This window comes from Homo sapiens, chromosome 18 (assembly GCF_000001405.40).
Source record: "Homo sapiens chromosome 18, GRCh38.p14 Primary Assembly".
NCBI classification, from domain to species: Eukaryota; Metazoa; Chordata; class Mammalia; order Primates; family Hominidae; genus Homo; species Homo sapiens.
In genome coordinates, this window is record NC_000018.10 from 48,158,093 (window position 1) to 48,185,103 (window position 27,011).

The following is a 27,011-nucleotide window of genomic DNA, read 5'->3' on the forward strand; positions in this document are numbered from 1 at the left end:
CAGGAACAAAATGGTATCTGGTCTGGACAAGCTGAGAAGTTAAATATGCCCAGGTTACCACCAGGGGCAAACACTGGCTCCCAGCCCTGTTCCTCCTTTTTCTCTTTGCTTTTGGTGGATTTGTTTTGGTGGCTGCCAAAGGTGCCTATCAGGAACGACAGGTGATTTGCTTTTGGGCAGGGCTGCGAAGATGTCAGGGAAACAAGTTACCTTTCTCATAACTCTGGCCCTCGCAGGCTACAGGATGACCATGGGTCGGAATGATGCTTCCCAAAGCCACCGACACACACACAGGAGCTGGGTCTAGGAGCCAGGAGTCTAGCTTCTAGCCCAGCCCTGCCTCTATGGGGCTGTGTGTTCTAGGGCAAATACTTCTCCCTCCCTGGTCCTTAATGTTCTCCTCAGCAAAATGAGGGTCTTGGAGGGGTGGGGTGGGGGTGATAAACTTGAAAGACCTTTTTGGCTCTCATCTGTGAGTTTGGAGGAAGCATTCTGGGGCCAGAGCTGCAGAATTCTGAATGGCTCTCGGGTGGGCCTACTTTCTCCTAGTTCCTAGGCCCTCTTCTGCAAGACTCCGTTTTTATTATTGATTTGGCAGTGAAGTAGAGTGTTCTATGTTCTTGGCTCAGCCCTGGTGGAAACAGAAGATAGACTCCAAAAGCAGAGGATGGCAAGTGAAGCGTGTCAGGCATGGCCTTCTTCACCTCACCGCCCTGTCCATCCATCTCGAGGTTTTGAAGGCACCTGGTTTTACTGATAATCTGGGGTGAGCATGAAGCCGCTGGGGGAAGGGACAGGCTACAGGGGAGCATGAAGCTGAAGGCAAATTCCTGGGCCTCCCCACACAGGGTGAGCTCCCCAGAGGAGGGTAGGGGCTGGGGAGATACAGTGTAGGGGAAGAGGATGAAGGCCTGGCCAACTGCTCCACTTCCATCTTCCTCAGCCCCTTTCTCAGAGGCGACAGGGGATGCAGAGAGTCAAGTCCACTCCTGGCCTCAAGGAGCATAACCACATTCTGTGTTTTCTTTTCCCAAAGAGATCAGAAGCTTCTGGAAGGGTAGGGGTCATGGCTTATTTATTTATTTTTTCCTTTTCTATTCCCCTTGTCCTAACACATAAAATACCTGCACATGTGGTGGTTAAGCACACCGATCCTAGAGTCAGACTGCTCTAGTGTGAATCCCGGTGGTCTTCTACTTAATCAACCTCAGTTTCCTTGTCTTTAAAATGGGAAAAATGATAATTCCTACCTCATAGGGATCTTACGAGGATTCAATAAAGTAATACTTACAGGACATTTAGCACAGGGCCTGGCACTTGGAAGGTGGCCCATAAAAAGGCTTACCAAGATGAATGGAGCTGAATTGCTTCTGGTCAAAATTCATCATCACAAGAAAGTCAGATGCATGTTCCTTTCTTGCTACTACAAATCATGCCTACACTAATTCATTCATCACCTCTGTGTCCACAGATGGTGCAAAGATCAACTTTACCAAAGCCAAGCTCAACTCTCCTAAGTTTCAAATCAGTGAGGTTCCTGAACTTCTACTACATGCAAAATATTATTTTAATCATTCATTTTACCCTCTTTCTTCTCCAAATACTTTATTAAAATTGGTAATAGTAGCCTGAATGACCTGAATTTCTCCTACTTTTACTTTTTACCAAAGTGCTGCCCCCATCCCACATGCCATAGTAGTCAATGCCCAGCAGGCAGGACCCCAGAGGCATGAACATTAGGTTCACAGAGCGCTGGGCAGCCCAGAGCCCAGGGGGCCTCCAGCCCCCAGAGATTCTGGATCTGTGGGGCTGTGGTCTCTTCACACAGTGCCTGGCAGGGCCGCAGGATGACAAGAACCCCTGCAGGAACAGACATGCCTTGGTCTTTTGCAACCTGTTCAGATACTGGTTGAGGGTAATGAATGGAAAAGAGTCACAGCATTAATCGCTCTGATCTGGAGTTGCCAATTTGGCTCATGCTCGGACCCACCTCCAGACCCACAGTCTCCTCCCGCACAATGACTGGGCTTGCTTGAAGTGACCAAAGATGATGCCAGGCTCCGATGGGGGTCACTGCTGGCCAACTACCCTAGAGAAACATTTCGCTAGCACACTCAGTGACAAGGAGCTAGAATCCCAAGCACTGTGGAAGCCTCACTTCTTCCAAAAGATGCATTAATCCAGTCCTCTTGTTGAGGGCTTGTTCATGCATCTCACCGGTATCTACTGAGCAACTACTCTGTGCCACATAGGTGCTATGCTAGGTCCCTAACATGGAGCTACCCTAAAATTAAAGCACAGTATAACAGCAGGCACGCTGGGATGAGGAGCTGGGAGGCTAGTCAGAGTTCCAGCTCTGCCACTAACTAGTAGTATGATCTTGGGCAGGTCATCTCCCGCTCTGGGTCTCAAGGGCCTCATCTATTAAACCCAGGACTGGGCTGAGGATGCCTGTGGTCCAGCTGTTAAAGATCCCGGTTAAATAATAAAGATCCTGGATCTATTAAATAACATCCCTGATGTATAAATAGTGGCAATCTTGATCAAAGAGCTCCAAGCTTGTAGAAAACACAAGCTCAGCAACCTACCAATCTCCCCCTTGCCATAGTAAGGGCACCTGTTTGCTACCTGAAAATGTAAGAACTCACAGCCTTGGGATGAGTGAGAAGTTGAACTGGCCGCAGGGAGAGACACCTGAGAGGGCAGTGGCAGTCTGAGGGGGGCCAGGTGGCCTTCTTGATGTGATATGAGGGATCCCTGAAAGGCCTCCCCTGTCCCAAATATCTGCTCCCTATCCCCCAAATCTGGGGTCCTGCATCTGGAATTCCACCATTTGAGACAAGTTTTTTTTTTTTTTTTTTCCAGTGCCGGGGGAGCAGTGGGGGGTCGTCTTTGATTGCAGACACCTTCAAGCAAAACGCACACAGCCATGAGAAGGGTGTGGTTCCCACCCTTCTAAGGTTGCCTGGGTCTTCCCTGCCTGCCAGCAGAGGCCTGGCAGCTTGTGGGCCCTGGGTGCTTGGGGCTGGAGGAGGTGGGGGGGACCCAGAAGGGACCCTAAAGGGGGCTGTGGGGGAGGGAGGGCCTCCTGGGCTGACTCAAGGTCTCCTTCACCAAGACCCAGAGGGCCTGGGGGACGGGGGCAGGGAAAGAGAAAGAGCACGTGCAAGATTTGAGTTCTCCAGGAGGGCTGGGAGTGGGAGAGTCCAGGGAAAGAGCTGGTGCCTCCCTTTGGCTAACCGATCCCTTGGAAGAGCCAGCTCAGAGAGGGGAGGAAGGGAGGGCGGGTCAGGAGACAGGGTGGGGCCGGGATGAGAGGAAACTGTAAAACCAACGGGGCGGATTCACGAAAAATTCCCGAGCGTGGTGAGGGTAGAGGGTGCTGGGCAGCACCCCAGTTCGCCGGGCCCACGCTCCTCCAGTTGCCCGGCCTGTTCAGACTGGTTCGCCCACCTTTCTCTCCCTGCCGGCCCCACTCGCCTGACCTCTGAGAAAGCAGAATCCGGGACATGAAGCAACCACAGCCGCTCCGCCCGGCCACAAGCGCCCCGGACTCCGTGCCTGCCCGCAGCCCCCTTCCTGCAGCGTTCACTCGGCTGCCCGGCCCGGCCCGGCCCGGGCGCCCCGCCCCAGCCCCGCCCCGCTCCGGAGGCCCCTCCTCTATCCCCGCCCCTTCCCGGGCGCCCCGCCCTCTCCCTCCACTCTGCGCCCCCGCGGCCTCTCTCTCCTCCTGCGGGAGCCATCGCCCTCCTCCCGGGCGCCCCTCCCCGCGGCCGCAGCCTGTTTCCCGGGCCTCTCCTCCGCATTCTCACATCGCTCCAGCTCGACCTCCCCACCCGCCCGCCTCCCCGGGAGGCCGCGGCCCGGCGCGGCACCGCCCCTGCCCACGGTTACCCGGTTACCGCCTGAGAGGCCGGCGCCTGCCCGGGCGGGCGGGACCCGCACTGACCCCGCAGGGGGCGAGGCGGGGCTGAGAGGGGCGAACGCAGAGCCAGACCCCCCGCCGCCGCAGGCCGCCCACCTCCAGGCAGGGCTTCGTGCCAGACCCGGCTGTAGTTATCAGCTGGGTGGAGGGCAGTGCCAGCTGCAGGCGTCCCCGAGGCGCAAACACCACCCCTGGCCCCAGCCTCCTTCCCTGCAGCCTTCTACCTTCTACCGGAAACAGAGCCACGGGGAGCTAAAGGAGGATCCAGCAACAGTGGAGGCAGGGACTCCACCTCAGAGGCAGGGCCGCACTGAAGCCCAGCTCACCTACCTGCTGGGTGACCTTGGGCAAGTGACTTCTCTATGCCTCAGTTGTTGCATCTGTAAAATTGAGATAGTAATAGTATTCACCTCACTGAGTGCTGCGGTTTGGTGCCTGGCACATAATAGGGACTTCATAGACAGTTGTTACTATTATTACCTCTTCCCCCACATTTGGGGTTTGGCAGAGGGATGTATTGGCTACATGGTCATTAAGGATCTGTTAAGCACCTCCTATGCACGAGGGAGATCACATGGTATGGTCCAAGAGTCTTGGAGTTAGATGTGGGGTTGAATCCTGGCCCTGTCACTTCATAGCTGTGTGTGACCTTGTAAAATTCTGTCTCCTCTCTGAGCTGAAGTTCCCCCACAGGAAAATAGGGACCGTAATGCCCATCTTCCGGGGCCAATGCTGGATTCAATGAGATAATGTACAGGGAGTGCCCAGGGCAGTTCTCAGCACACAATAGTGCCTCTCAGTAAATAAGAGACGCAGGATGGAGAGGACAGGCTCAGTTTCTGCTACAGAAGAGCTCTGGGCAGGTAAGACCTATGGGAGAAAAATGTCACTGAGGAGGATGAACGTTCATGCTCAGCATGCAGTCAGTAGGAAGGGCTGAGGGAGGGCAGGCCCTCCTGTCTAGGAGAATGAAACTGCTAAGGGTGGGATGTCAGGCACTGGTGGGGGATGTTTCCGAATGGGGCCCGTTGGTCCTCAGTGAAGCGGCAGCTACTGGGCCTGAGAAGGGATGTAGGGGCGCTGGAATGACTGATGTCAGCATCTGCTTTATTGGAGAGGCCCCAAAGATGGCTTGGCCATCTCTCTCCCATCCTGACAGGAGAAAAGAATGAAAAGGACAGTTGGAAAATGAGCCCTGAGCAAAATCTCCCCCCTTTATAATAACTGTGAATGTGGCTGGGCATGAGCATGGCCCTGGACAGTGGCTGTGTGACTCTGAAGCTGGGTTCCCTCATCTGTAAAATAGTGGGCTGGTCAGATGCTTTCTAGGCCCCTGAGCTCCTCCCTTCTTGAAAGCAACATTTGCTCTGATCCGTAGCAATGTGGGGGAGAAGCCACTCCTGGAGAGTGCAGGGCCCATCTTCAATCCCATCACCCATTCCATGAACTGGCTGGGAGCCCTCTTGGATGAAATGGAAATGGAGTGGGGCTTAACAGTGGGACAGGCTCCCCAAAGTAGCTCAGGAAGACCAGCTGTCCCACTGATTGTGTGATTCTGACAGCTGGAATCAGCCTTTCAAGCAGATGTCCAGCCCTCTTACAGACAAAGAAAGCCCAGAGAAGTGAAAGGACTTGCCCAAATTCATGTGTCTCTTGAGAGGCAGAGCTGCCTTTCAATCCACTGCACCATATTGCTTCAATTAGTTTCATTAAGAGGGACAACAAAAAAACCAGTAAGCTAGTGACCAAGGCCATCCAAAGTCTCTTTGAGTCCATTTCACGAATGCAAAATGGAAATGCCTTAGCTTCACTACCAGATAAGAAAGTGCTTTGGGAAGTGAGAAGAACACTCCAAACAGCCCAGGAGCTGCCATAAGCACTGTCTGGAGCTGGAGGGGGTTAACTAGGTGGACAGTTGGCGGAGGCTCCTGCCAGGTCAGAGGGGATTTGCCTTTGTGATCAGCACTGCAGGCTCCACGAAGAGTCCAAGGACAGTGGGCTCTGAGTACTAATATGCATTTTTATTCTGCAATAATTTTCATACTGAGTTCAAGAGGCACCAACTCCAAGTACATAAAACCAAATCAAATTAAATTAATTGATTTTATTGAAACCTGCTGCAGTTGTATTCAAGCCCACAGCCAGGGGCATGACCCTCATGAAATACCAAAGGGGCTTTTGAAATAATTAAATTAATCACACCCCGGGTTATGCACAAGGGCTTGCTCCTGGACTCACAGGCAGGCATGTTCCCGGTCCCAGCAACAAGCGGGAGAGGAGCATGTGGCCGCAACACAACCACAAAATGTGGTGCTGCCTAGGGGAGCTGAAGACTCAGACTTCTCATTCCAGGGTAAGCCTTTGTTCATGCTCTTTTGGCAAACATGCACATACACACACTCTCATGTTAACCCATACACACAGTCACAACACCACTCATACTCACACACATACATATGTATACACAAACATACTCATCTGCTAGATTTCCCTTCTGTCTCCCTGTCTACCCATGGTTCAGATCAAGTGCTTACCTCGTGATCCTCCTTCTTTAACCCACCAGGACCCCTCCAGCACTTGGATGATGCATTTTCTTGTTGGCTGTTGTTTCATAAGCGCTTTTTTTTGCATCTCTAAGTAAAGGCTAGTAAGCCCCTTGAATGCAGAGAATGGGCCTCCCTGCCTTCTCTGGATCTCTCAGAAAGCTCAGCATAACCTAGAGTGTGAATAACTTAACCACTGTAAGTGCTGTGCACTTGGAAGGAGCTCCAGACATTAAGCACCTACTGTATACTAGATACTGTTCAGATGACTTTAGACATATTAACTCATTTAGTCCTCACCACGAGCCCCCACCCCCTACATCCCACCAAGTTGGGATTGTTGTTGTCCTTATTTTACAAATGAAAATAGAGAGACACAGAAAGGTCAAGTAGCTTGACTGAGGTCACCCAGCTGGCAAAGGGAGCAGGGTTATATTACTTCTTAGGAAATCTTAAGCCAAAACAATTCTATACATCCTGTTGCTGATCAAGAGGTAGATCACCTTGTGCTTGAACACATTCCCACAAACAAGTATGGTTACAAAATCCCAGCATTACAGGGACACTCACCAACCCTTCATTTTACAGAGGAGGAAATTTGCAGTCCAGGAAGGGGAGGGTTCTTGTCCAAGGTCACAAAGCAATTTAGAGGAGAGCTCCCAGCCTCCTGTTGGCCCACAGCTTAGAGCAGCTCTGTCTGGGAGAAATGTTACTGATTATTCCAGTTCCTCATGCATTCGAATCTAAGACAACACTCCGACGTAGCCCGTCCTTCAGAGACAATGAGTGTCCAGTGATGAGCAAGAATCGCCCTGCGGAGCTGCCCATACTCTATGGCCCAAGTCCTCCTCTGTATTCAGAGAGCAAACTTGGGCAGAGAGAGGGGACCTGGCCTTGTTAGGGATCAGACTCCCAAACTGCGGCCTCATCAGCACCTGCTCTAGTCCTTGTTGTAACTGCTGGGACACCTTTGAAGACAAAGCCTTTCCCTCTGTTCCTGTTGTGCAATGAGCTTTCAAAAGCTCCTGTCCCTCACCGCCACCGCCCCCCAACCTCTGCTCCTTCCACACCCCGCCCACTACCAAATGCTATGCCCTCAAGGTTAACTTCAAAATAAAGCCCTGGAGTCCAGCCAACAAGAATCCCCTTCCTGGCTCTGAGAACTTGAGCTGCTTAATAGGAATGGGGAACTTGAACATCGTAACCACAACAGCCCCTCTTTGCAGGGTCTGCACAGCTCTGTGACCAGCACACATATTCTCGCCACGTAAGCCTCATTTTACAGATGAGGAAACTTGGGTAAAGGGTGGGGAGAGGCCTGCATGCCGAGCTAGTAGGGCCTGGATTCAAAGCTGATCTTTCCCTCTTTTTAAAATGACCAGATATTCTTATTAACAGTATGGCCTGCCTGTCTGGCACACTGCATAATACGTTTTTCCCAGATTTTTTTGACTGAGCTCTTTGATTACTTCTTCATAGGAGAATAATTTTTTTTTAAATTGTGGTAAATGTTTATATTTATATATGTGTAACATAAATGTTGCTATTTTAACCATTTTAAGGCGAAATTCCGTGGCATTGAGTACATTCACAGTGTTGTACAACCATCACCACTATTTCCAAGACTTTTTCATCAACCCAAACAACTCTGTAACTGTTAAGCAATAACTTCCCAACGTTCCCCTCCTCTGAACCTTGGTACCACTAATCTACTTTTCATCTCTAAGAATTTGCTTCTTCTATTTATTTATTTATTTGTTTATTTTGGGAGAAATAAGAACACTGGGTAGGAAGAATTTGCCTATCATGGATGCTTCATAGAAGAAGAATCACACAATATCTTGTTGCCCTTTGTGTCTGCAGAGTTAACTCTTTTCCCCAGTAAGCTGGACTTCTCAGCTTCTCAGACCCCCGGTTTCTCCCTGCCTCCCTCCCAGGAATGCCGTTGGGGTGGGAGTCCCAACATGAGTGATGTCATCACAGGGAGGGCCAGTCCTGTGGAAGCTCAGAGTCCCCTGGTCCCCAGCAGGTAGAAGCACCTGGCCTGGTCCTCAGCGATACGGACAGGACCAATGAAGCAGCATGTTAGGGGGCAAGAAAAAGGAGTTTCCAGCAGGGAGACGGGCCAAGGAGTGACCCCCAAAGCGTCCAGGGGCCTGGGCACTACACTGCCACAGGCAGCCAGGGGCGAGCCGTAGATGGACCATATTGGGCACATTTGGTGATGGTTTTGCTGAAGTGTGCCTGGAAGCTGCTGTCCACACTGGAACAAGCCTCTGGCACCTATTGGGCACCTCCTAAGCTAGAAGGTGGCTCAGTTGTGTTGTCCTTACTGGCGGGGGGGAAGCTCTTGAGGCTGTTTCCCCACTCACAGCCCCCAGCCCCAGGAAGAGGCCTCTTCCTCTGACCTCAACCTCAGCTGGAAGCACAAAGCAGAGCCTGCTCAGCCCTGCCCTTCTCTGGTCTTCAGAACCTCGTGCTGCCCTTCTACCCAAGCTGTCTGTGCCTGCTCTCTGCACAATGGCCATCCGGAGGTAGTCCTGTGTCCGGTCCTTCCTTGGCCGGAGGCAATATCCAGACCCTTCCTCCACCCTTCCAGGGTTCCCGCCCACTCCTGAATCTCCACTTTGAAAGCTTTCCACGGACAAGTGATCTCTCACAACCGCCTTCACTTCCCCTCCCAGTCCAACCTGCCCCTCCCACAGGCCCCAGCCTACCCATTTCCTCTGCCCTTTTCACCCTTTGGCGCCAGAACTCAGCCATTCTGAGCCTTTGGCCCAGCTCTTTCCTCCTTCCAGCTGCTCCTGTGCTGGGGCCTCCCATCTCTTGCTTTTTCTCTTTGGCGTTAACTGTTACTCAGCCCTGCACCCCAACAAAGAAATGCACCCTGAAAGCCTGTGGCACTAAGGTATGGGGGACATCAAAGGCAACCAGACTCAGCACAGACCTAACACTTGAGTTACCTATTTGGAAATGTTAAATGCAGGCCACTGCATTGCTAGGGTGTGTGTGTGTGTGTGTGTGTGTGTGTGTGTGTGCGCGCGTGCACACGCGCATGCGCCAGTAGACTCTGGGTCCTTCCAAGAAGCTTTTCAAAGCAACCTTTCTCCCCCTTGCCAGAAACAATGAATTAGTGAGGATGAGCCCAAACAGGATTAATAGTCCTTTTCTGGTTACCCGAGTTTCTTGCTTCTTGTATAACACAGCAGCCACAGGGTTTCAAGGTTTCTTTGAGAAGATGCTAGAGCAATGACTACAGAGCTTATAAAATTACACAGAACGGTATGTTTGAAAAGATCATTTTCTGTATTCAGCTCTGTGAAAAGTTTTCCATAAGAGCAGCAACAGTCGGATAAAGGTGCCTGCCCACATAAAACAGCTTTAGTAGGGTTTCAGATCCCTTTCAGAGTGTGGGGAAGAGAGAAGGGAGGGGAAAGGACTATCAAAAGGAAAAACAAGTCCGCATGCTTTGATTTGGCCTTGGTGACCAGGACAACACACTCTGAGGGTGCCACAGTCAATATTCGCTTCACTGAGCTTCTTATCAGGCTCCAACCTATGGGGAGCAAAGGGCAGAGCTTGGCAAGAGCCCAGGTGCTGTGTGAGGGTTCAGGGTGAGGCCCCGGCTGATTAAGCTGTCCTGGGCCTTTCGGTCAGAGGCTCCCTGCAAAGAGGTCCTTGGAAAAGGCTTACTTGCTGCAAGGCAACCTCCTGGGATCCCTGCACCAAAGTTTTCAGATCTGGAAACTGGCAAATTTTTGTTAGACAAATATGTGGTTGATGTGCAGGTTTTTCTAAACATGAAACAAACCCCACAAGTTATAAGGGGGAAAAGTGGTGGATTTGATTACAGAAATACCACAATCCAAGTTAAAAACAGACTGGGAGAAAATATTTGCATTATAAGTTACAGACATAGGTTTAAATCTACGATATACAAAGAGCTCCTATACATCAATAAGGAAGAACATGAAATATAAATGTCCACTAACATGATTTAAGTTGCTCAATCTCACCAATGATTTTTATTAATAAAATGTAAACACCAACTCTTAGGTGCTGAAGAAGAAATAGGGGAAGGCAGATCTTGTAGGTAAGGGACACTAGATTAAAGAGCTAGAGGACTTGAAAGCTTATCACCTGTCCTGGAAGACTCAGCAAATCATTTTCCATGTTTGGGACAATGTTCTAGTTTATATTTTCGTGGAAGTTGCGTAAAGGATAATGTTGGTCTTCTGTCTCTTGAATCAGGCATAAACATGGCTTCTTATGCCTATCCCCCTTCTCAGAGCAGCTCAGAACACTTATCACACCTTTCTCCTTGACCCTCACCTCTCTGGAAGATTAGAAGCAGAAGATTTATTGGATCAACTTCTCAGCTGTGGAATCTGAGCAAACAGAAGGGAAGTGGCTGAGGTAAGACACCCCTGGCAGCCCTTGGTGAATGTTGCAACTGGTCTGGGGCACTTGCCCTGTCCCCAAGGGGGTCTGTGTGTACCACAGGGTCTGCTGTCCAGATGGCTGCATGGGGCATGGGGAGCAGGCAAGGGCTACACAATAGAAAGGTAAGAAAGTGCACTGACTTTATTTTCAGGCAATGCGGGTTAGGATTCTACCTCCTACTGCATGCTCCTGCACGCATTGTCCCATCTTTTTGCATCCTGGGTTCCTCTTCCATAAAATGGGCACAGTACTCCTCACCTCCCAGTCCCCTTGCCTTACCATTGTCCTTACCACTCGATTGGACATATTTCAGAGACAGCCTTACCCTCTGTTACTTAACGGTTTCAGCTCCCCAAACTAGATCACACGACTTCATGGGCTAGAGCTGTGTCTCCGGAGAGGTCAGGGACCCCAGGAAGCTAACAGCACTGGGGCCCTGCCATCGTCACTTTTGAACTCGCAGCACCTGGCACACTGTGTTGCACATGGAAGGTACAAAATAATAGTTACAGAATGAATGAAGGAAACTATGGATGAGGGAGCCGAGGGTCAGAAAGGTGAAGTGTCCTGCCATGGGCCATATGACCCATTAATACCTGGCAAGCACTGTGCCGTCCACTTTCTTCTTTATCAAGGGCAAATGGTGAGGAGAAAACACAGCCAAGCATACTGGCTCATGAAGTCTCGTGTTTTCCAGGGAAAGTCCCATTTCACATCTGTTTTCTCTTACGATTATAATAATGCCCACTTTTACTATCAAAAGTGTCCCTTTTTTTTCTTAAAGATATGGACTGCTTCACGAATTTGCGTGTCATCCTTGAACAGGGGCTATGCTAATCTTCTCTGTATCATTCCTATTCTAGTATATGTGCTGCTGAAGCAAGCACAAAAGTATCCCATTTTGGATGATAAAGTCTCTGTTCTCTCTGTTATGAGGGAGAGTGGACAGAAGGTCTCTGTGTTTCCCTGACTCCATCTACTCTCCCACCCCTCACCTCTCCTGACCTAACAGAAACACAATTAAAATGTCACTTCATTATCTATTCACTGAAAGCCACACTGGAACTGCACTCCCCACAAAGGCCAACTTCCCCCAGCAAAATCCGCCTTAAGGGTGCCCTCATGGCCTGTGCATTGGGGTGATGGGGTTCCCAGCTGCTTAACTGCCTTCCACTATATCACCAGCAAGTGGACCAAAGACCCTGCCTCAGCATTCTTACTGTGCTGAATGATGGGCACCTGCTTGCCAGGCCTGTGCCAAAGAAGCCCTCTACCCACACCCCAAGGGCTAACTAGTATCCAGTCTTCCTATTCTGCAGGGGGCATCTGGACCTGAACAGGGACTCATCCATCAAAGCTCTTGGGGGGCCTGGCAGCCTCTCCAGAGAAGGATGCGCAGACTGAGGTGAGAGCTGGGGTCTCTGAGATCCACCCACCTGCAGAAATGCTGGATTTGAGGGGAGGCAGAGAGGCATCATGAACACAAAGAAAGTTCCCACCCAGAGGAGCTCACCAAACCCGGGGCAGCCTCAGGGATGAGCATTTTCAGACATGTTCAGGAAGACATGGCTGGGATGTTGGATTAGGGGATGGGGCCAGCCCTCCCACTGGTCCTCAGACCTTTAGAGGAGGCCAGGAGGAGAAAAAGAGCCATTGACACCTTAACAGAGTAAGCAGGTACTCTTGGGAGATCCCCTCCACACCTATGAAGTCATTCAAAGCCTGGGATCCGCAGGTGCCTCTCCCAGAGCCTTCCTCAGTTCACTCACCTCACTAGGCCCACCCCACTCCTCTGCACCTGTCCCCTCTGCACTGACAGATGACCGAGAACCCCCCGCCCCTGTACGACTGCAGAGGCCTCTGTGGTTGCTGTCCAGGCCTTTCATGGGAGTGTGGTGCCTTCGCCAGGACTAGCCCTCCCCCTGCCCCACAGGGCAGGGACCCTTCACTTTCTGATCCCACAAGGAGCTGTGCCCTGGGTTCTGCCTATAGCCTACACTCAACTGTCTCTTACCAGCCACCTACCTGAAAGTGGGGCATTAGAATCTGGAACCTAAGGTTGGTAGGTCCCAATCTGCTGGACCTGGACTCAGAGACTCCCTTGGCAGTAGAAGAAGATGGCACCAGGTCTCACTTAACTCTTTCTCTGGCCCTGCCTGAGCCTTGGAGCCCCATGGTCCAGTGCTCACAGGCCTGGCCCCAAGTTAAACAAGAGGACAAAGCCCAGCTTGTGGCTTCTTCCCCGAGCTGGCTGATACCTATTTTCCCTAAAGGAGGAATCCAGGCTGGCTTTGGCCATCTCACCCCCTCCTGGAGAGCAATGGGCATGCCACACTGGGCACTCTTTGAGGTCAGGCACTCAGCCTTCTTTCTTCTGAATTCCTCTCTCCTTCCAGCCCTCACTTCCCCTACCTAGGCCAGGCCCTTCACTCTAGGAAGAATATCCCAGGAATCATCCATCACCAAATTCTAGGAGCTGATCTCAGCAACTATGCGGCTGGAAGGAGCCTGGAAAATCCACTGTGCCCATGATGGGAATGACCATTAATGCCTGGAGGGCAAGGATGCTGTACCCATTCCTGCAGCCCCAGCCCCAGCACAACCCAGACAGAGGGCTCTCAGCAGAGGCTTCCGGAACTGTGCTTGAGTCCTAGCTTGCTGTCTCCATGGCTGCCCTGGAGGCTGGCCCAGAGCAGGCACACAGTAGGCATCTGTGAATGAAGCAACAGGTGCCTGCCGGGTCCTAGCTCCTGGGCTGGGCACTCTGACTACTTTATGTGGGGCAACAGCCCTGCAAGGTAGATACCATCATCCTATTGAATGGATGAGAAAATGGAGGCTCAGACAATTTAAGTGGCTTCCCTGAAGCCACTTGGCAAGTATCAGGCCAGACTTCAAGCTTAATCCTTCCAGTCTCTGAAGACTGTGGTCTTTCTGTTTTCATGTCAGCCACTCAGTCCACGCATTTGGGGATTTCAAAGTCGAATAAGAAGTAGCTCCAGCTCTTGGGTGGTTCATACTGAAAGAGGCAGACAGTTTTGTTCACAGCTACCTGGGACAAGAAACAGACGTGGCCAGGCCTGCACCCAAAGCTGAAACCTATTGTGTAGGCTGCAGGCAGAGGAAGAAGGTCACTGTTCCTCTGTAGTTTGAGAAAGGTATCTGGGAAGAGGTGGCAGTGGATTCGGCCACAGACAGGACATGATGAGGCTAAGGACGCATTGAGGATGGATTTTAAGCTAGTGGGAAGATGGGTGGGAAGATGGGTCTGCATCAGGGGCTTCCCAGTGCCCTTAAATGTCATGATGGCCCGTCAGGCAGCCATTTGCACAGCTTGGTGGAGCAGGCAGGGGGGCACGGAGGGCTGGCGGCTGGGAATCTGCCCAGGACCTGTTAGGTTTCTCAGCCGGAGCTGCAGGCCTGAAGCAGGTAGAAGGGTTGGGAGCTGGGAGCGGAGTCTGTGTGCCCTGTCTCCATGAGTGTGTCTGGGAGATTCGGGTGACCTCCTGGCCTCCATCAGTGGGAGCTGGGGGAGAGGGAGACCAGCGAGCTCTGAAGGACGCACCCGCCACATCGTTGCACACTTATTTTTCCCAAACACTTGACTGACGTGACCCACGGGGCCACAGGGAATGGCCTTCACTGGGCTGGCAAGTCGAGGGCAATGATAGCCCTCAGTTCCTTGGGCGGCCCCTCCCTCAGGGAGCTGGCCCGGGGCGAAGAGGGCCTTGGACTTGCTGCTCTGTCCCAGGCCAGCCTGCCACAGTAGGGGTGGGAAGGGCCGCCTGGTCCTGTCTGCTTCTCGCTTTTTCTGTTTTCAGGGTCAGCACAGTTCAGGGAGGAGACACAGACTGTCGGGAAGGCCTCCTGCAGAGACAGAGGAGCACAGGCACTGTCTAGGGGGTGGTGGGAGGGGACTGTGGGGTGGAACAGCAGCCTCTGGCACAGCCATGAACTCACTGCAGAGTAACTCACTGCAGAGCCTTCCCAGGCCTTGGTTTCTGTTCTGAGAATGGAGGCCTTGGAGCAACTTGAAAGCTCCGACTTTCCTCTAGTTCTTGAACATGCCATCTTCCTCTTCCCAAGATGTTGCCAGACAGGAGTGGACAGTTAGTTTACTTCAGGTTTTGCTAATTTTCTATTCCTACATTGTGATTTGAACAGTTCTGCTGTTAGACCCAAAACCTGATTAAGAAAATCAGTAGATCCCCTCAAAGTCCAAGAAACTCATGATGATTAAGCATCCACTCCACATCAGGCCCCACGCCAACTGAAAAGGTTTATGTGGATTATCTCATTTAATCTTGATATTAACTCTGGGAAGTGGCTGTTATCATCCCCATTTCCCCCAGTTTGGCATAATTTCTTAAAGTCCTGCAGTGGTTTCCCAGGACCTTCAGGATAAAATCCAAACTCCTCCCAGCCCACCCTTCTAGCACCGCACCACTCCTAACTGGGCCAGTCCCTCATGGATGGACTGCTTCTCCCACACACAGTCTCAGGGCCTATGATACGTCCCCCCTTCCCATCCATTCAACTTGTATCTTTCCAAGGCCTGGCAAATCCTTCTCTCCAAGGAAGAGTAGGCAGTAGTGGGAGGCAGGTGAGGCCCTAGGGCACCACATTTAAGGAGGCACTCACTGTCAGGTGCCAGGCCTGCACTTGCATGCTCCTGAGAGTGAGCACCTCCTTAAATTTTACACTGAGTGCCTCACTTGCCTCATCCTTGTCCTGGCCCTGCCCCAGAGACTCAATGCCCAACCCAAAGGACCTCTCCCTCCTCCAAAGTCCACAGCCCTTCCTGGTAGGTCCTGTCACTGGACTGTGTCACGGGGACTGATCTTGATGCCTCGTGTGAATGTCCATCACTACAGGGCAGACACCACTTGTCCCCTGTCCCCATCCTAAAATCAACAGGGCTTGCTCCAGCTTCCAAATTGGCTCCCCATCTGCCCTCCTTCATCCTCCACCCCATCAACCTGGAATTCCAATTCATCTTTTAGAATCTATATGAAAATTATGGTTTAGCACTGTATAGCCATTAAAAATTACGTTTCCACATGGGTGAATTCTTCTATAACCTGGCTGTAAGAAGAAAAGATTGGATAATTTGACTATACAAACAAATTTATATGGCAAATCCCATAAGTAAAGTCACAGGCAAATAATAAACTGGGAGAAAATATTTGTCACATATATCATAGACAAAGGGCTTAGTATATAAAAGATTCTTAAAAATTGAGGGACAAAGAACCAAAAACCCAATAGCAAATGGACAAGATATAAAGACAATTCACAAAAGGCAATATTAAAAATGATCATTAAACATATGAAAAATTTTCAACTTCACTCATAATAAAAAAATGAAAACTAAAATTATAATGAGATAACATTTCTTACCAGTGAGATTGGCAAGAATTCCAAAACTTGACAATAACGTCTGTTGGCAAGGTCGTGGGAAAACAGGAATGCAACTGACACAACCCCATGGAGGGGAATCTGGCAACGCCTAACAAAACTACATCCTCTTCAACTTGATAATCCCATTTTTAGAATCCCAAGCATATGAAACACACATGCACAAGCATTGTAGCATTATGTAATTGCAGAATATGAGAAGCTACCTAAGTGGTCATCCGTAAGAGAGCAAGTGAATAAACCATGACACATACACACGATGGAGTATTATGCAGCTGTAAAAAAGAGTGAGGAAGACCTCTATGGGCTGATATGAAGTGACTGCCAGGAAATATTACTGAATGAATAAAGTAAAATGTAAATACATCTAAATCTGTATTTACCTACCTACCTATCTATCTATATATAGTGCTACCTTTTCTGTGAGAAAGAAGGGGAAATAAGACAACATATAATTTTGCTTCTCTTTACACAAAGAAATAGATGCATAAGCAGAAAACAATTAAATTGGTTACCTACAAGGAAGCAATGGGTTACAGAGGAGAGTGACATATCTCCAACTATACCTTTCTGTATATCTCCAACTATACCTTTCTATCTCCAACTAAACCTTCTATCTCCAACTGTACCTTTCTATTTGACTTCTGAAAGCATGTTCATGTCCTACATATTTTTAAAAATTAATTTAATAAGAATGAGAAGGAAAAAAATCCCTCAAACTGAAAAAAAAGGAACCTAACTGTAGTTCAAATAAATACTATAACCACACTGAAGGACAGAAAAAATCAGGAAGGAAAGACTAATCCTAGTAATTTATGAACATGGCATGGTGAGGTGGGGATGAGAGGAAGGTTTGTTGGTTGTAGTGATTTGGGTGAAACAATTCTGAGAGTATTTTTAGATGTAATATAGGATGAGCAAAGGAGTGAATTTTGTTGACAGTTTGGGGAGCCGAGGTTTCACTGCTGAAGAAGGACATGTAATTATGAGATGGGGAAGGCAGGAAACAACCATGTAGAAATGGATTGGAATCAGAGGTATTGGTATGGATTCACAATTTCTAAAATACAAATATGTCAGTGTATGTGCATGTGTATGGGTGAATAGTACATGGATGTATAGGTGTATGGATGCATGTATTTCCTAGTGTTTTGTCCCCTGAAAGGGCCAAGGTGCAAATATACCCAGCAACGAGCAAACCCAGATCTGGATGTCTAATACCATTCCTCGCTAAAAGGAACCAGAGCCCCCCAGAGAAATTACTGATGCCAGGGCTGGTGCAGGGTAGGTGCAAGATAAGCCTGGAAATCTCTTCTCATACCAGAAAGTAAGAACATACTCAAAATAGGGATAGTGGTGTATTAAAATATCATAGGTGAGAAATACTAAACCATTGGAAAAACCAGAGTTCATCATTCTATGCAGATAATAAATAAAAACATTCTGTTGCTTACAGTAGAATGCAAAGGGCCCATTGGCAAGAATGGAGGCAGTGCTGGAGTTGGAAATGCATCATTGTGCAACCTCATGTTAATGACTGGATGGGCCAAAAGTCATCAATGGGTGCTACATCTAGGGAGAGACCGATGAGGAGCAGGGTACTGCATGGTTTTAAAATGTCTCCCCATAGACCACTTGCTAGTTCCAAGGGAGAAAAAAAAATCATCCTATAATGGAGAAATCAGACACTGCCTGGACTGAGGGATCAAAATTAACATCACCAATGAGGGCCTCCTGATGATGCCCTGAGAAGAACCAAGAGGGCTTATGCAGGGTTCTGTCCAAGAATACATAACCTGGATTCTAATCAAGAGGAAACATCAGACAAATTCAACATGAGGAATATACTGTCTTACAAATAAGTGGGGGCATTGTATTCTTCAAAGATGTCCATGTCATAAAAGACAAAGAAAGGCTGTGAAAAGGTTCCAGATTAAAGGAGATAAAGAGACACAACTAAATGCAATATCCAACCCTAGATGAGATCTACTTGAGGGAGAAATGCTGGGGAGAACATTATGAAGTTAACTGACAAAATCGGGATACAAAGAATAGATTAGATTAAAGTGTTGTATAAATGTTAAATGTATTGGTCAACCATGCTATGATTATGTCAGAGAATATACCTATCCTTGGGAAACACATGCTGAAGTATGTAGGGGTGAACTTACCTTCAAATGGTTCAGGAAATACACGTGTGTGTGTGTGTGTGTGTGTGTGTAAGAAAGAACACAAATGATTAAGCAAGTGCTGTAAAATGTTAACAGCAGGTAAAACTGAGATATAAGAATACAAGGATATTCTTTGGATTATTTTTGTTTGCAGTTTCTCTGTAATTTAAAATTTTTCCCAAATAAAAAATTTAAATGTATGTTCCAATATTTGAAAGATGCTTTCTTCTCTGTAGGAGTGGACTCTCCTCAGCCAGGGGACTGCCAGCAGGCAACCAGGCCAGGGAAGAGTTCCTAATCAAACCCATCTGGGTTCAGTGTGTGGCCTTGGAGAATTCACTTGACCTCTCGCGTCTCTGCTCCCTCCTGTGGGGCCATGCCCACCTCATGGTCTTGGGACAATTAAAAGAGATGATGCCTGCAAGAACTTGGCCCAGGCCCCCCATAGGGTGTGCTGGACATCTACGGGAACTATTACTTCACTGGTAGTGTTTTCATCAGCATAAACCCCTTTAGGGCACAGAGCTGAGAGCTGTCTACATTTCCAAGAGCCATTTCTGGCCTGGAGCAGGACAATGAGCCAAGAACAAGCAGGGCCAGCTGGAGGGTGGCTTCCACCAGCAAAGTGGTCCCCTCGCCCTCCTGCTTCACCCTCAGGCCTCAGCTTCTAGAACTCAGGCCCTCCTGCTCTCTGCCTTGACCACTTGCCCTCACCTGCAAAAGCCTTTCCTTTTGGCTGGCACTTCTTCAAGGCCCCCTCCTGGTGACTCCTGTGACACCTTGCTAGAACTATTCTAGTCCCCTCCTTCAGCTCCTTCTTTGAGTAAGGGACCTGAGGTGGCATTTCAGTGTGGATTCATTTATGGCCCCATCTCTCCTCTTCCAGGGAAACATTTTGTGACAGTGCCATCATTCTTGTGTTCCTGGCAAAAGGAACTATAATTCCTGGCCAACAGGAGGGTGTGTGCGTGTGTGTGTGTATACGCATGTGTGTGTTTGTGTGTGTGTGTCTGTGAGCTGTGGACTTTCTTGGAGGCCATGAAATCGCCCCTCAGGCCAGGCCTGGCCTGTTGAGAACCTGGGTCCAAGTTCTTGGGTCCAAGAACTTGGGGCCAAGGCCTGTGCTGTTGTCTTCCACTTGTCCCTCCCACCCTACTCTGCTCTTCTTGTGCCCTGGGAGGCCGACCACTGCAGACACAGCAACGGGCTCCCTTGCCTCTGGCCTCCTGTCAGCTCAGCCTGTAGGGCCCTAGGTGGAGAATGGAGGAAGGGAGTTTGGGGTTTAGAGTTGGGGTGTTTAATGCCTTGTATCCCTTTCTCCAGGGAGGCCTCAGACCAGCTGTATCCCTGGACCAGAGGTCACAGCGCTGGTAAGGTGGCCCCTCCACCCCACCCTCACTGTCTCTACTTCCAGCAGCCCCTCCCTCTCCTTGCCCAGCCCCTCCCTCTCCTTGCCCCTTTAGTGCCCCTGGGTGTAACAGCTCCCCAGTGTTCACAGCCCTGGGGTACTGCACTGGGTCTTGAGAGTTCCCTGCACTGGCACTGGCCTTTGAACTCAACTCTCCAAATTGTCTATGAACTGAAGTTTGCCACCTGTTTCCTGCCATGCCCCTGACTCATGCGGACCCCTGTGGAGGGAGGCAGTGCCCTCTCCCTTAATGTATTTGGTACTTGTCTGCACGGGAGGCCCCACATTGCCATGCTCAGGGAGGGCATCTCAGGGAGGGCATCTCAGGGAGGGGATCTGCTGCGAAGCCATTCGCACTGCAGAACAAAAGCAAGGGCTACCACGTCGGGCCTCTTCTGCCTGCTGCTTCTTGTTCCAACTTCATTTCATCTTTTCATAAGTTACTGTTCTGTGAGAAGCATTACAAGAAGGAAATTAAAAGAGAGAAAAGTTGGTGGAGGAATACCTTTCTTTCTTTCTTTTTTTGGTTTAAACCTTTTGTTATGATCTCTTTAGGAGCCTGATCCAACTAGAGGGACATGTGGCAGAATATGTTCTTCAAAATTAGTTCTGAGAGACACTTGGGGCTCTTTATTATTCATTCTATTAAAATCAAAATATTAGCTGATGCCTGTCGCATCGTCAGAGCGGGTCTGGCAACTTCTCTGATGCATTGTCTACTTGAAAGTAAAGACGAAGGCCTTTCATGTGGAAGCCTCTATCAGGTCCATTCTGTTCTCCTGCTTGTAATGACAGAAAAACCCTGGCCTGCTCTGTGTCTGAGACACTGACAGATCCAGGACAAAGCAGTGGAGCCCATCATGTGTCCCATTGTGCCAGGGCCCTCTGGGCAAGGCTGCCTCTTCTGGGGCCCTACCTCTCCCCCACCAAGGGTGGCCATGGAGCAGCAGGAGGACCCCTCCTGGTCCCAGGAGTGTGGCTTCTCATATTCATTGATTTTGAAGTGGGTGGAGGGGACAATGCCAGGGACCCTGAGGCTTAAAGATCAAACTGCCTTGCCGTTTCCTTGGATGCCCTCTGCTGCCCTTACTTCTGGAAGGAATACCATAATGCAGATAATTCCATTTCTCCAGCAGGAACAAACCAATCTGGCTGTGGCGCTCTGCTCTAGAGCCACCCAGAGGTTGGCCTGATGTTTTCACTTGGGGCCCTAAGTAAACAGAGAAGTTCTTAGCTCAACAGAGGCTTGTCTTTTCTGAGGACTGTAGATGGGACCAGAGTCCCCAACCAATAAGGGATCCTGCATGGCTGAGCAAGGCTTGTGCCTGGTGGCCGAGTTACACAGCAGATGAATGCATGTCACTTGGGGGCCTTCCAGCCAGCTGTGGAGAAAGACTCTCCTATGCTGGATGTGGGGAATGTGGGGGCTTCAGGTGCTCAAGGAGGCAGAGATTCCTGGGGGCTGGGTGGGCTTCCCAGGGCTGGTGGGATCAGACAGGTGGTTAAGCACCAGGAAGGAGAGAGAAAAGGGAAGAGCCGGGAGGAATGTGAGTGACCAGCTTGGAAGCCAGGGTGGGAGACCATCTCGGGAGGGACAGGAAAGGAGCATCTGTTGGGGGAGTGGTCAGAAGTCAGGCTGGAATGCCCTCGACTGCAAAGAAGATATTTCTCTCTCCTTCCTTCCTTCCTTCCTTCCTTCCTTCCCTGCGAGGAAGATATCCCTCCCTCCCTCTCTCTCTCCCTTCCTTCCTCCCTTCACTGCAAGGAAGATATTTCTCCTTCTCTCCCTCCCTCCCTTCCTTCCTTATTTCCTTCCTTCCTCCCTTCCCTTCAAGGAAGATATTTCTCCTTCCTTCCTTCCTTCCCTCCCTCCCTTCCTTCCTGCAAGGAAGATATTTCTCCTTCCTTCCTCCCTTCCTTCCTTCCTTCCCTGCTTCCTTCCTTCCTTCCCTGCTTCCTTCCTTGCTTCCTTCCTTCCCTCCCTCCCTTCCTTCCTTACAAGGAAGATATTTCCCCTTCCTTCCTTCCTTCCTTCCCTGCTTCCTTCCTTCCCTCCCTCCGTACCTTCCTTGCAAGGAAGATATTTCCCCTTCCTTCCTTTCCTTCCTTCCTTTCCTTCCTTCCTTCCTTCCTTCCTTCCTTCCTTCTTTCCCTCCCTCCCTCCCTTCCTTCCTTCCTCCCTTCCCTGCAAGGAAGATATTTCTCCTTCCTTCCTTCCTTCCTTTCCTTCCCTCCTTCCTTCCTTCCATCCATTTCCTTGAGCAATCCTAAATTCAATATTAATCTCCCTAGACCTTCTTGTTGATAAATGTTGATTTCCCCAGCACACCTGTTCATATTTCAGATGGAAATGTATTATAAAATCACACCATTCGCTGGTGATTACCACGGTAATCAGGCACGCTCATTGACAGGCCAGCACTCCTCTTGAAGACAAGGGTCTGGAGACAGAAGCTTTCATGTCACCTATGCCATGCCTGGGGAGAGAGGGAAATGAAGCAGGCATGGGTGGTGTTTGGGAGGGATGGTTTCCTTCTCTGGGGAAGTCTTGGCAGACAGCACAGCCCCAAGGGCCCAGGAGGGCTCTGTAGGGTGATGGGGGGGTGGGCCAGACAAGGGCAAGTAAGTGGGAGGGTAAGGCCCGCATACCTTGGTGTTCTACAGTGTATATACAGCTAGCAACACTTTTACGGGATCCATGGCAAGAGATCTGAGCTACCAGGATCAGGTATCTTAGTCAGAATATCATTCAACCTCCCACCAGGTGTAGGAACAATCTCTACAGCCTCCTAGAACATCACAAAGATATAATTATTATTACTGCTTCTCTGTATCATAGGATTATGGTTTAGGGTCTGACGAAAGCCCAGGCTGTTTGAACTGTTACTTAGTCTTGATGCAGTCCATTTTAAGTTTTCTAACCAGACTGCTTGGCTTCAGATTCCAATTCTAGCACTTACTGGCTGTGTGACCTTGGACAAGTTACTTAACCTCACTGTTACTTTTCACTTGTAAAAAGCAGATAGTATAAGTTTCCAATGCATAGGATTGTTGTGAGGATTATGTTAATTAATAAATGTAAAATGGTTGAAATAGTGCCTGTTACAGAGTAGTTGCTTAGAAAGGTGAGCCACTGAGATCCTGGAGTCACCCCTTTATCTTCATAGAAGAGGGAACTGAGGCCAAACCATGGGGAAAGCAGATAGTAAGGACTGGACTGGACTGGACTCTGAGCTAATGCTGTTCATATGAATGACACTCTATCCCCTTGCTCTCTAAGGCTAAGGAAACCTTCCATGCAGGAGTGCTGTGAGCTGAGCAGTGCATAAGAAAAGAGTGTTTGTGGGAATCAGCATTTTACCACCTGGCAGACCTGCCTGGGCTGTAGCAGAGCCTCCCCACTCAGTGGACAAGGGACAGGAGGGATCAAAGGTACAGCCACTATCCTGGGCTTTGCACAAACATTGCCTCGCCTCCTTCTCCTGGTACCCCCATGTTATCCTTTCTGAACAAAGAGGCAACTGAGGCCCCAAGAGCCCAAAGCTGCATGACAATGACGGTGAATCAGGACTGGAACCCAGACCCCCTGCCTCCCTACCCACAGCTCTTTCAGCTCCCTTTCCAAATATATCAGCTTGCTGCCCTCTGGCTGTCCTGTTTTCTACCCAAAACTAGGACCTCGTCCACCTTCTCAAGCCCAGTCACCCCCTTACTCCCACTGAAGCCCTGGAATCTTAGGCCTAGTGGGGTTGCAGGTTCCAGAGTACTTACATCCTTAAAGGACATAAACATCTGTAGCCTTCAGTCACCCCCACAATTGCCTATGCATGTTAGATGTGTCTACTAAAAACAACCACTATAATAGTTGTAGCTGCCTTTATTGCTTATTCTGTTTTAGGGTTTACGCTACCTTCTCTTTTTAATATAATGATATTTGTCATTAATTGAATTATTTTACATCACACCAGACATCGTATAATCCAAACCAGGCCAGGAGCTGTGGGCTCTGTATTACAGCACCCACCCCACCAGAGGCAGCTGACAGGCCATTATTCTGTGTCCTGCAAACTCTGTGCAGTGATAAGGAAACTCCACCAATTTGATGCTTTATCTGGTTGCAGGTTGAGGAAAGATATTATTTCAATCAAGATAATGATTCTACTTCTTGAACGGAAATGAGATTTTTTTTCATTGCCTCATGGGGGTGCCACCAACATCTGTCTCCGGGCTGGAACAGGTCATGAACAAGTTAGAGGATTTTCTTGTAACCTGAGAGAGAGTGTAAACATGAAGGAGAACTGAAAGAAGGGAGCTTGCTTGCAAGAGAAAAACATATCTGCCAGGCCTCCACGATTATAAAATAAGCTCAATTTGGAAAATGTACACTGGCATTGAACAGAGCATTCAAGACCGAACTTCAGAAGGTAAGTGTCCGGTGTGAGCCCTACAGCCTGGAATTCAAGTGAGGTAAATGGCCTAAAAATGCCATGATAATACCAAAGATGCACAGAGGAGACTCAGCTATGACAGGACCTTAGACGTCTTCTAAGCCTGTTGTCAGGCAGTGTGGATCAGCTGTGTAACTGTGCTGACGGATGACCTAGCTCCTGTTTCAGCCCCTTCTACCAGAGGGGGCTCGCCACCAAAAGAACCCATTCCATCTTGGACCAGATCCTGTGTTGAGGAAGTACCTCCAAATTATAGTCAAGTCACTGAATAAAAGGAAACCACAGTGAAAACTCACACGGTGCTGACAATGCAGGAAATCTAAATGCACTTTGGAAACAGAATACACAATATGCAAATGACATCAGATAATAAATGCAGGGAGACCTCAATGATTTGCACTAAATAGTGAAGTTAGTGAAATTTTAAATTATTTTAAATATTTGGGAATTCCAGGGGCTGTCATGCGGTATCTCAAATAATTTGCTTTAAATAATAATTTAAATTTTATGTATAATTTGCTTTAAATAATAATTATTATTTGCAATGAGAAATAAAAATAATTTATTATTTGCAATTAGAAGTAAAAATAATTTTCAATTCCTATATCAATTGTTTATATAGTAACTCTAAAGAGTTCGAAAACGTTTGTAAAGTTCTTATGCATTTTAAACATTCCACTGAGAGCTGAATCAGGCTATTAATTGCTCCCTCTCCAAAGAAAAGGCCTATTTCGGCTCAATCCCTTCTGGAATAACCCCAACTGCTGACTCTAAAGACCCAAGAAGGTGGCACCTTTCTATACTGCATCAGATTCACCAAAATTTTGGAATCTAAACCACAGTCTTGTTGGTTGTAGACTATCATTGGAAAGTAACACAAAACTCTGGCAATATTGGTTGTCTCTAGGACAGGAGCCTGCTTGAGGCCAGAGGTAGAGGGGAGACTTTTTACAATATACCTTCTGGTACTTTTGAATTTAGAGCCTTGAGACGATACTGTCTGTTAAGAATAAAATTCCAGTTAAAAAAGCACATGTTATTTTCAGTTAAAAAAACAGACTTCGGGATTGATTTCTATTTTAATACCTATACTCCCAAAATACAATCTTACTGCAATGAAAATTACTGCCAGGTCAGTGAAAATGACATTTGGCTGTCTTGACAAGAGTGGTGCTCACACGCATGAGAATAAAAGCAATTGATGCCCTGCCCAGGTCTCTGTACCTACTCCCCAGCTGCTGAGTGTGGTACACAGCTTTCACTCATGACATTCTCGGGTCCTTGCTCTTGGTTGAGGTGATGCCTTGGAAGCTGCACCACCAGCAACACTCTGGGGGCAGCTGCTGACAAATAAGGGGACACACAAGCCCTGCCCCCTGCCTCCAAGTCAGACATCACTGCAGTGCAGTTGATGTGGACCAGACCCAGGGAGACCTGCCCTGAGACCACATTCCCACTCAGCTCTTGCTTCTTTACCCTGCTTCCCTCTCTCCTTGACAAGTGTTTCCTAAGAGCTCTCCCTGGATACATCACATCCCACTGAAAACTGACTCAGGCTCTGCTTCTAGGAAGCCCAACCTAAGTCAGTCACCAGTGGCTCAAAATGAAGCCCTCCAGCATCTTTTCAGAGGGTTGTCCCAGGAGTTGGAAGCACACGTGAGCCTTCCTCCTTGAAGGCAGCACCATAACCACCTTCCTGCCTTGCCGAAGACCACCAGTCTGACATAATACAGCCCACGAAAGCCAGCAACAGCAAAACATGGACATCCAGAACAGACAGAGTTCTGACAACTGGACCCCGTGGCGCAGCACAATGATGACTCTTCTTCCCCAGGATGAATAAGCAGGAGGCAAGGGCTGAGCCAAAAGGACCTGTTGCATAATCTGAGCAATGTCCAGTTATGTGCAGCGGAAAGTCAGTGTGGACGTCTTAGGCAGCTCTACCACTTACTAGCAGAGCAAACTAGAGCAAATATTGAATGATTCTGAGCCTCAGTTTCTTCATCTGCAAAATGGGAATACTGGATAGAGCCTTTGTAAAGCACCTATGAGGCAGTACCTTCAAGAGTGCTGCAAATTGCTCATCCAATGTGAATACTGGCTGTTGTTATGGAGATTTATAACTAGCTACCTTCTCCTGCTTGCTTGGGACAAATATTAATTAATCATCATTAAATAAATATATCCCAGCTGCCCCTCATCCTGAGCACAGTACCTAGAGCTCCCTGCGTGAGAAGTGGCTCTGGGGGAAAGGCAAGTGGACAATTGGGAGTGCTGTATTGGTGACTGTCCGCCAGGAGCTCAAGATGTGGCCCCATTACTGGCCTCACAGGGCTCTGGTGGCCCTTGGCTGCAGCTGTGTGGAGAATTTTCTCTCTCTCTCTCTCTCTCTCTGTCTTTCTCATTCCCTCTCTCTCTCTGAGACAAAGGGAGTATCTCCAATGCAGATTTCCTATAATCTACTCAGTGTATAGACTGATCTCAAATACAACCTCAAGTTTGTGAAAAATTCATGCAGCCATTTTCATATCGTGGAGTGGCCGACAAACAGGCAGAAACTAAATTTTATTTACATAGGTGAAGAATCCTTTATTCCATCCTGATTCTTTGCATCTGGACCATTCCTGAAGCCATGCCAAGCCCTCCAGCACCTGG

At 48.9% G+C, this 27,011-nt stretch overlaps 1 protein-coding gene, 1 long non-coding RNA gene and 1 pseudogene across 20 annotated transcripts in view, besides 2 other annotated features; 1 reads left to right on the plus strand and 2 right to left on the minus strand.

The window, feature by feature from the left end:
• ZBTB7C (zinc finger and BTB domain containing 7C) overlaps positions 1-27,011 on the minus strand; it is a 385,914-nt gene that overhangs the window by 131,421 nt on the left and 227,482 nt on the right. For 5 of the 17 annotated variants that reach the window (XM_047437347.1, XM_047437345.1, NM_001371284.1 and 2 more), the window contains one exon: positions 7,039-7,161. The exons of 6 other annotated variants lie outside the window; for them this stretch is intronic. In XM_047437347.1, coding sequence (XP_047293303.1) covers positions 7,039-7,049 — 11 coding nt within the window. In that variant the 5' untranslated portion in view covers positions 7,050-7,161. Of the gene's footprint in view, positions 1-4,255; positions 4,306-7,038; positions 7,166-27,011 lie in introns of all 17 variants that reach the window. 6 more of the 17 variants (XM_047437346.1, XM_011525864.3, XM_017025606.3 and 3 more) reach the window with 2 other exon arrangements.
• Positions 3,544-3,743: a silencer, noted in NCBI's record as "silent region_9431". NCBI's record gives its function as "represses an Ori minimal core promoter by ATAC-STARR-seq in GM12878 lymphoblastoid cells {active_cell/tissue: GM12878}" and the evidence as "EXISTENCE:reporter gene assay evidence [ECO:0000049][PMID:35858748]".
• On the plus strand, positions 4,624-26,555 carry ZBTB7C-AS1 (ZBTB7C antisense RNA 1). Of its 3 annotated transcripts, none has more exons than XR_001753437.2 (5): positions 4,624-4,788; positions 10,758-10,884; positions 19,824-19,870; positions 23,189-23,340; positions 24,030-25,340. It is a non-coding gene; the product is annotated as a ZBTB7C antisense RNA 1 (long non-coding RNA). The 3 variants fall into 3 exon arrangements; XR_007066455.1 differs by lacking the exon at positions 4,624-4,788 and adding an exon at positions 8,946-9,376 and having other exon boundaries at positions 24,030-26,555; XR_007066456.1 differs by lacking the exon at positions 4,624-4,788 and having other exon boundaries at positions 7,962-12,316.
• Positions 11,692-11,798, minus strand: RNU6-708P (RNA, U6 small nuclear 708, pseudogene; annotated as a pseudogene).
• Positions 14,075-14,575: an enhancer, noted in NCBI's record as "H3K4me1 hESC enhancer chr18:45698538-45699038 (GRCh37/hg19 assembly coordinates)". NCBI's record gives its function as "activates a minimal SCP1, AML or CMV promoter by ChIP-STARR-seq in naive H9 embryonic stem cells {active_cell/tissue: H9 hESC(naive)}" and the evidence as "EXISTENCE:reporter gene assay evidence [ECO:0000049][PMID:30033119]".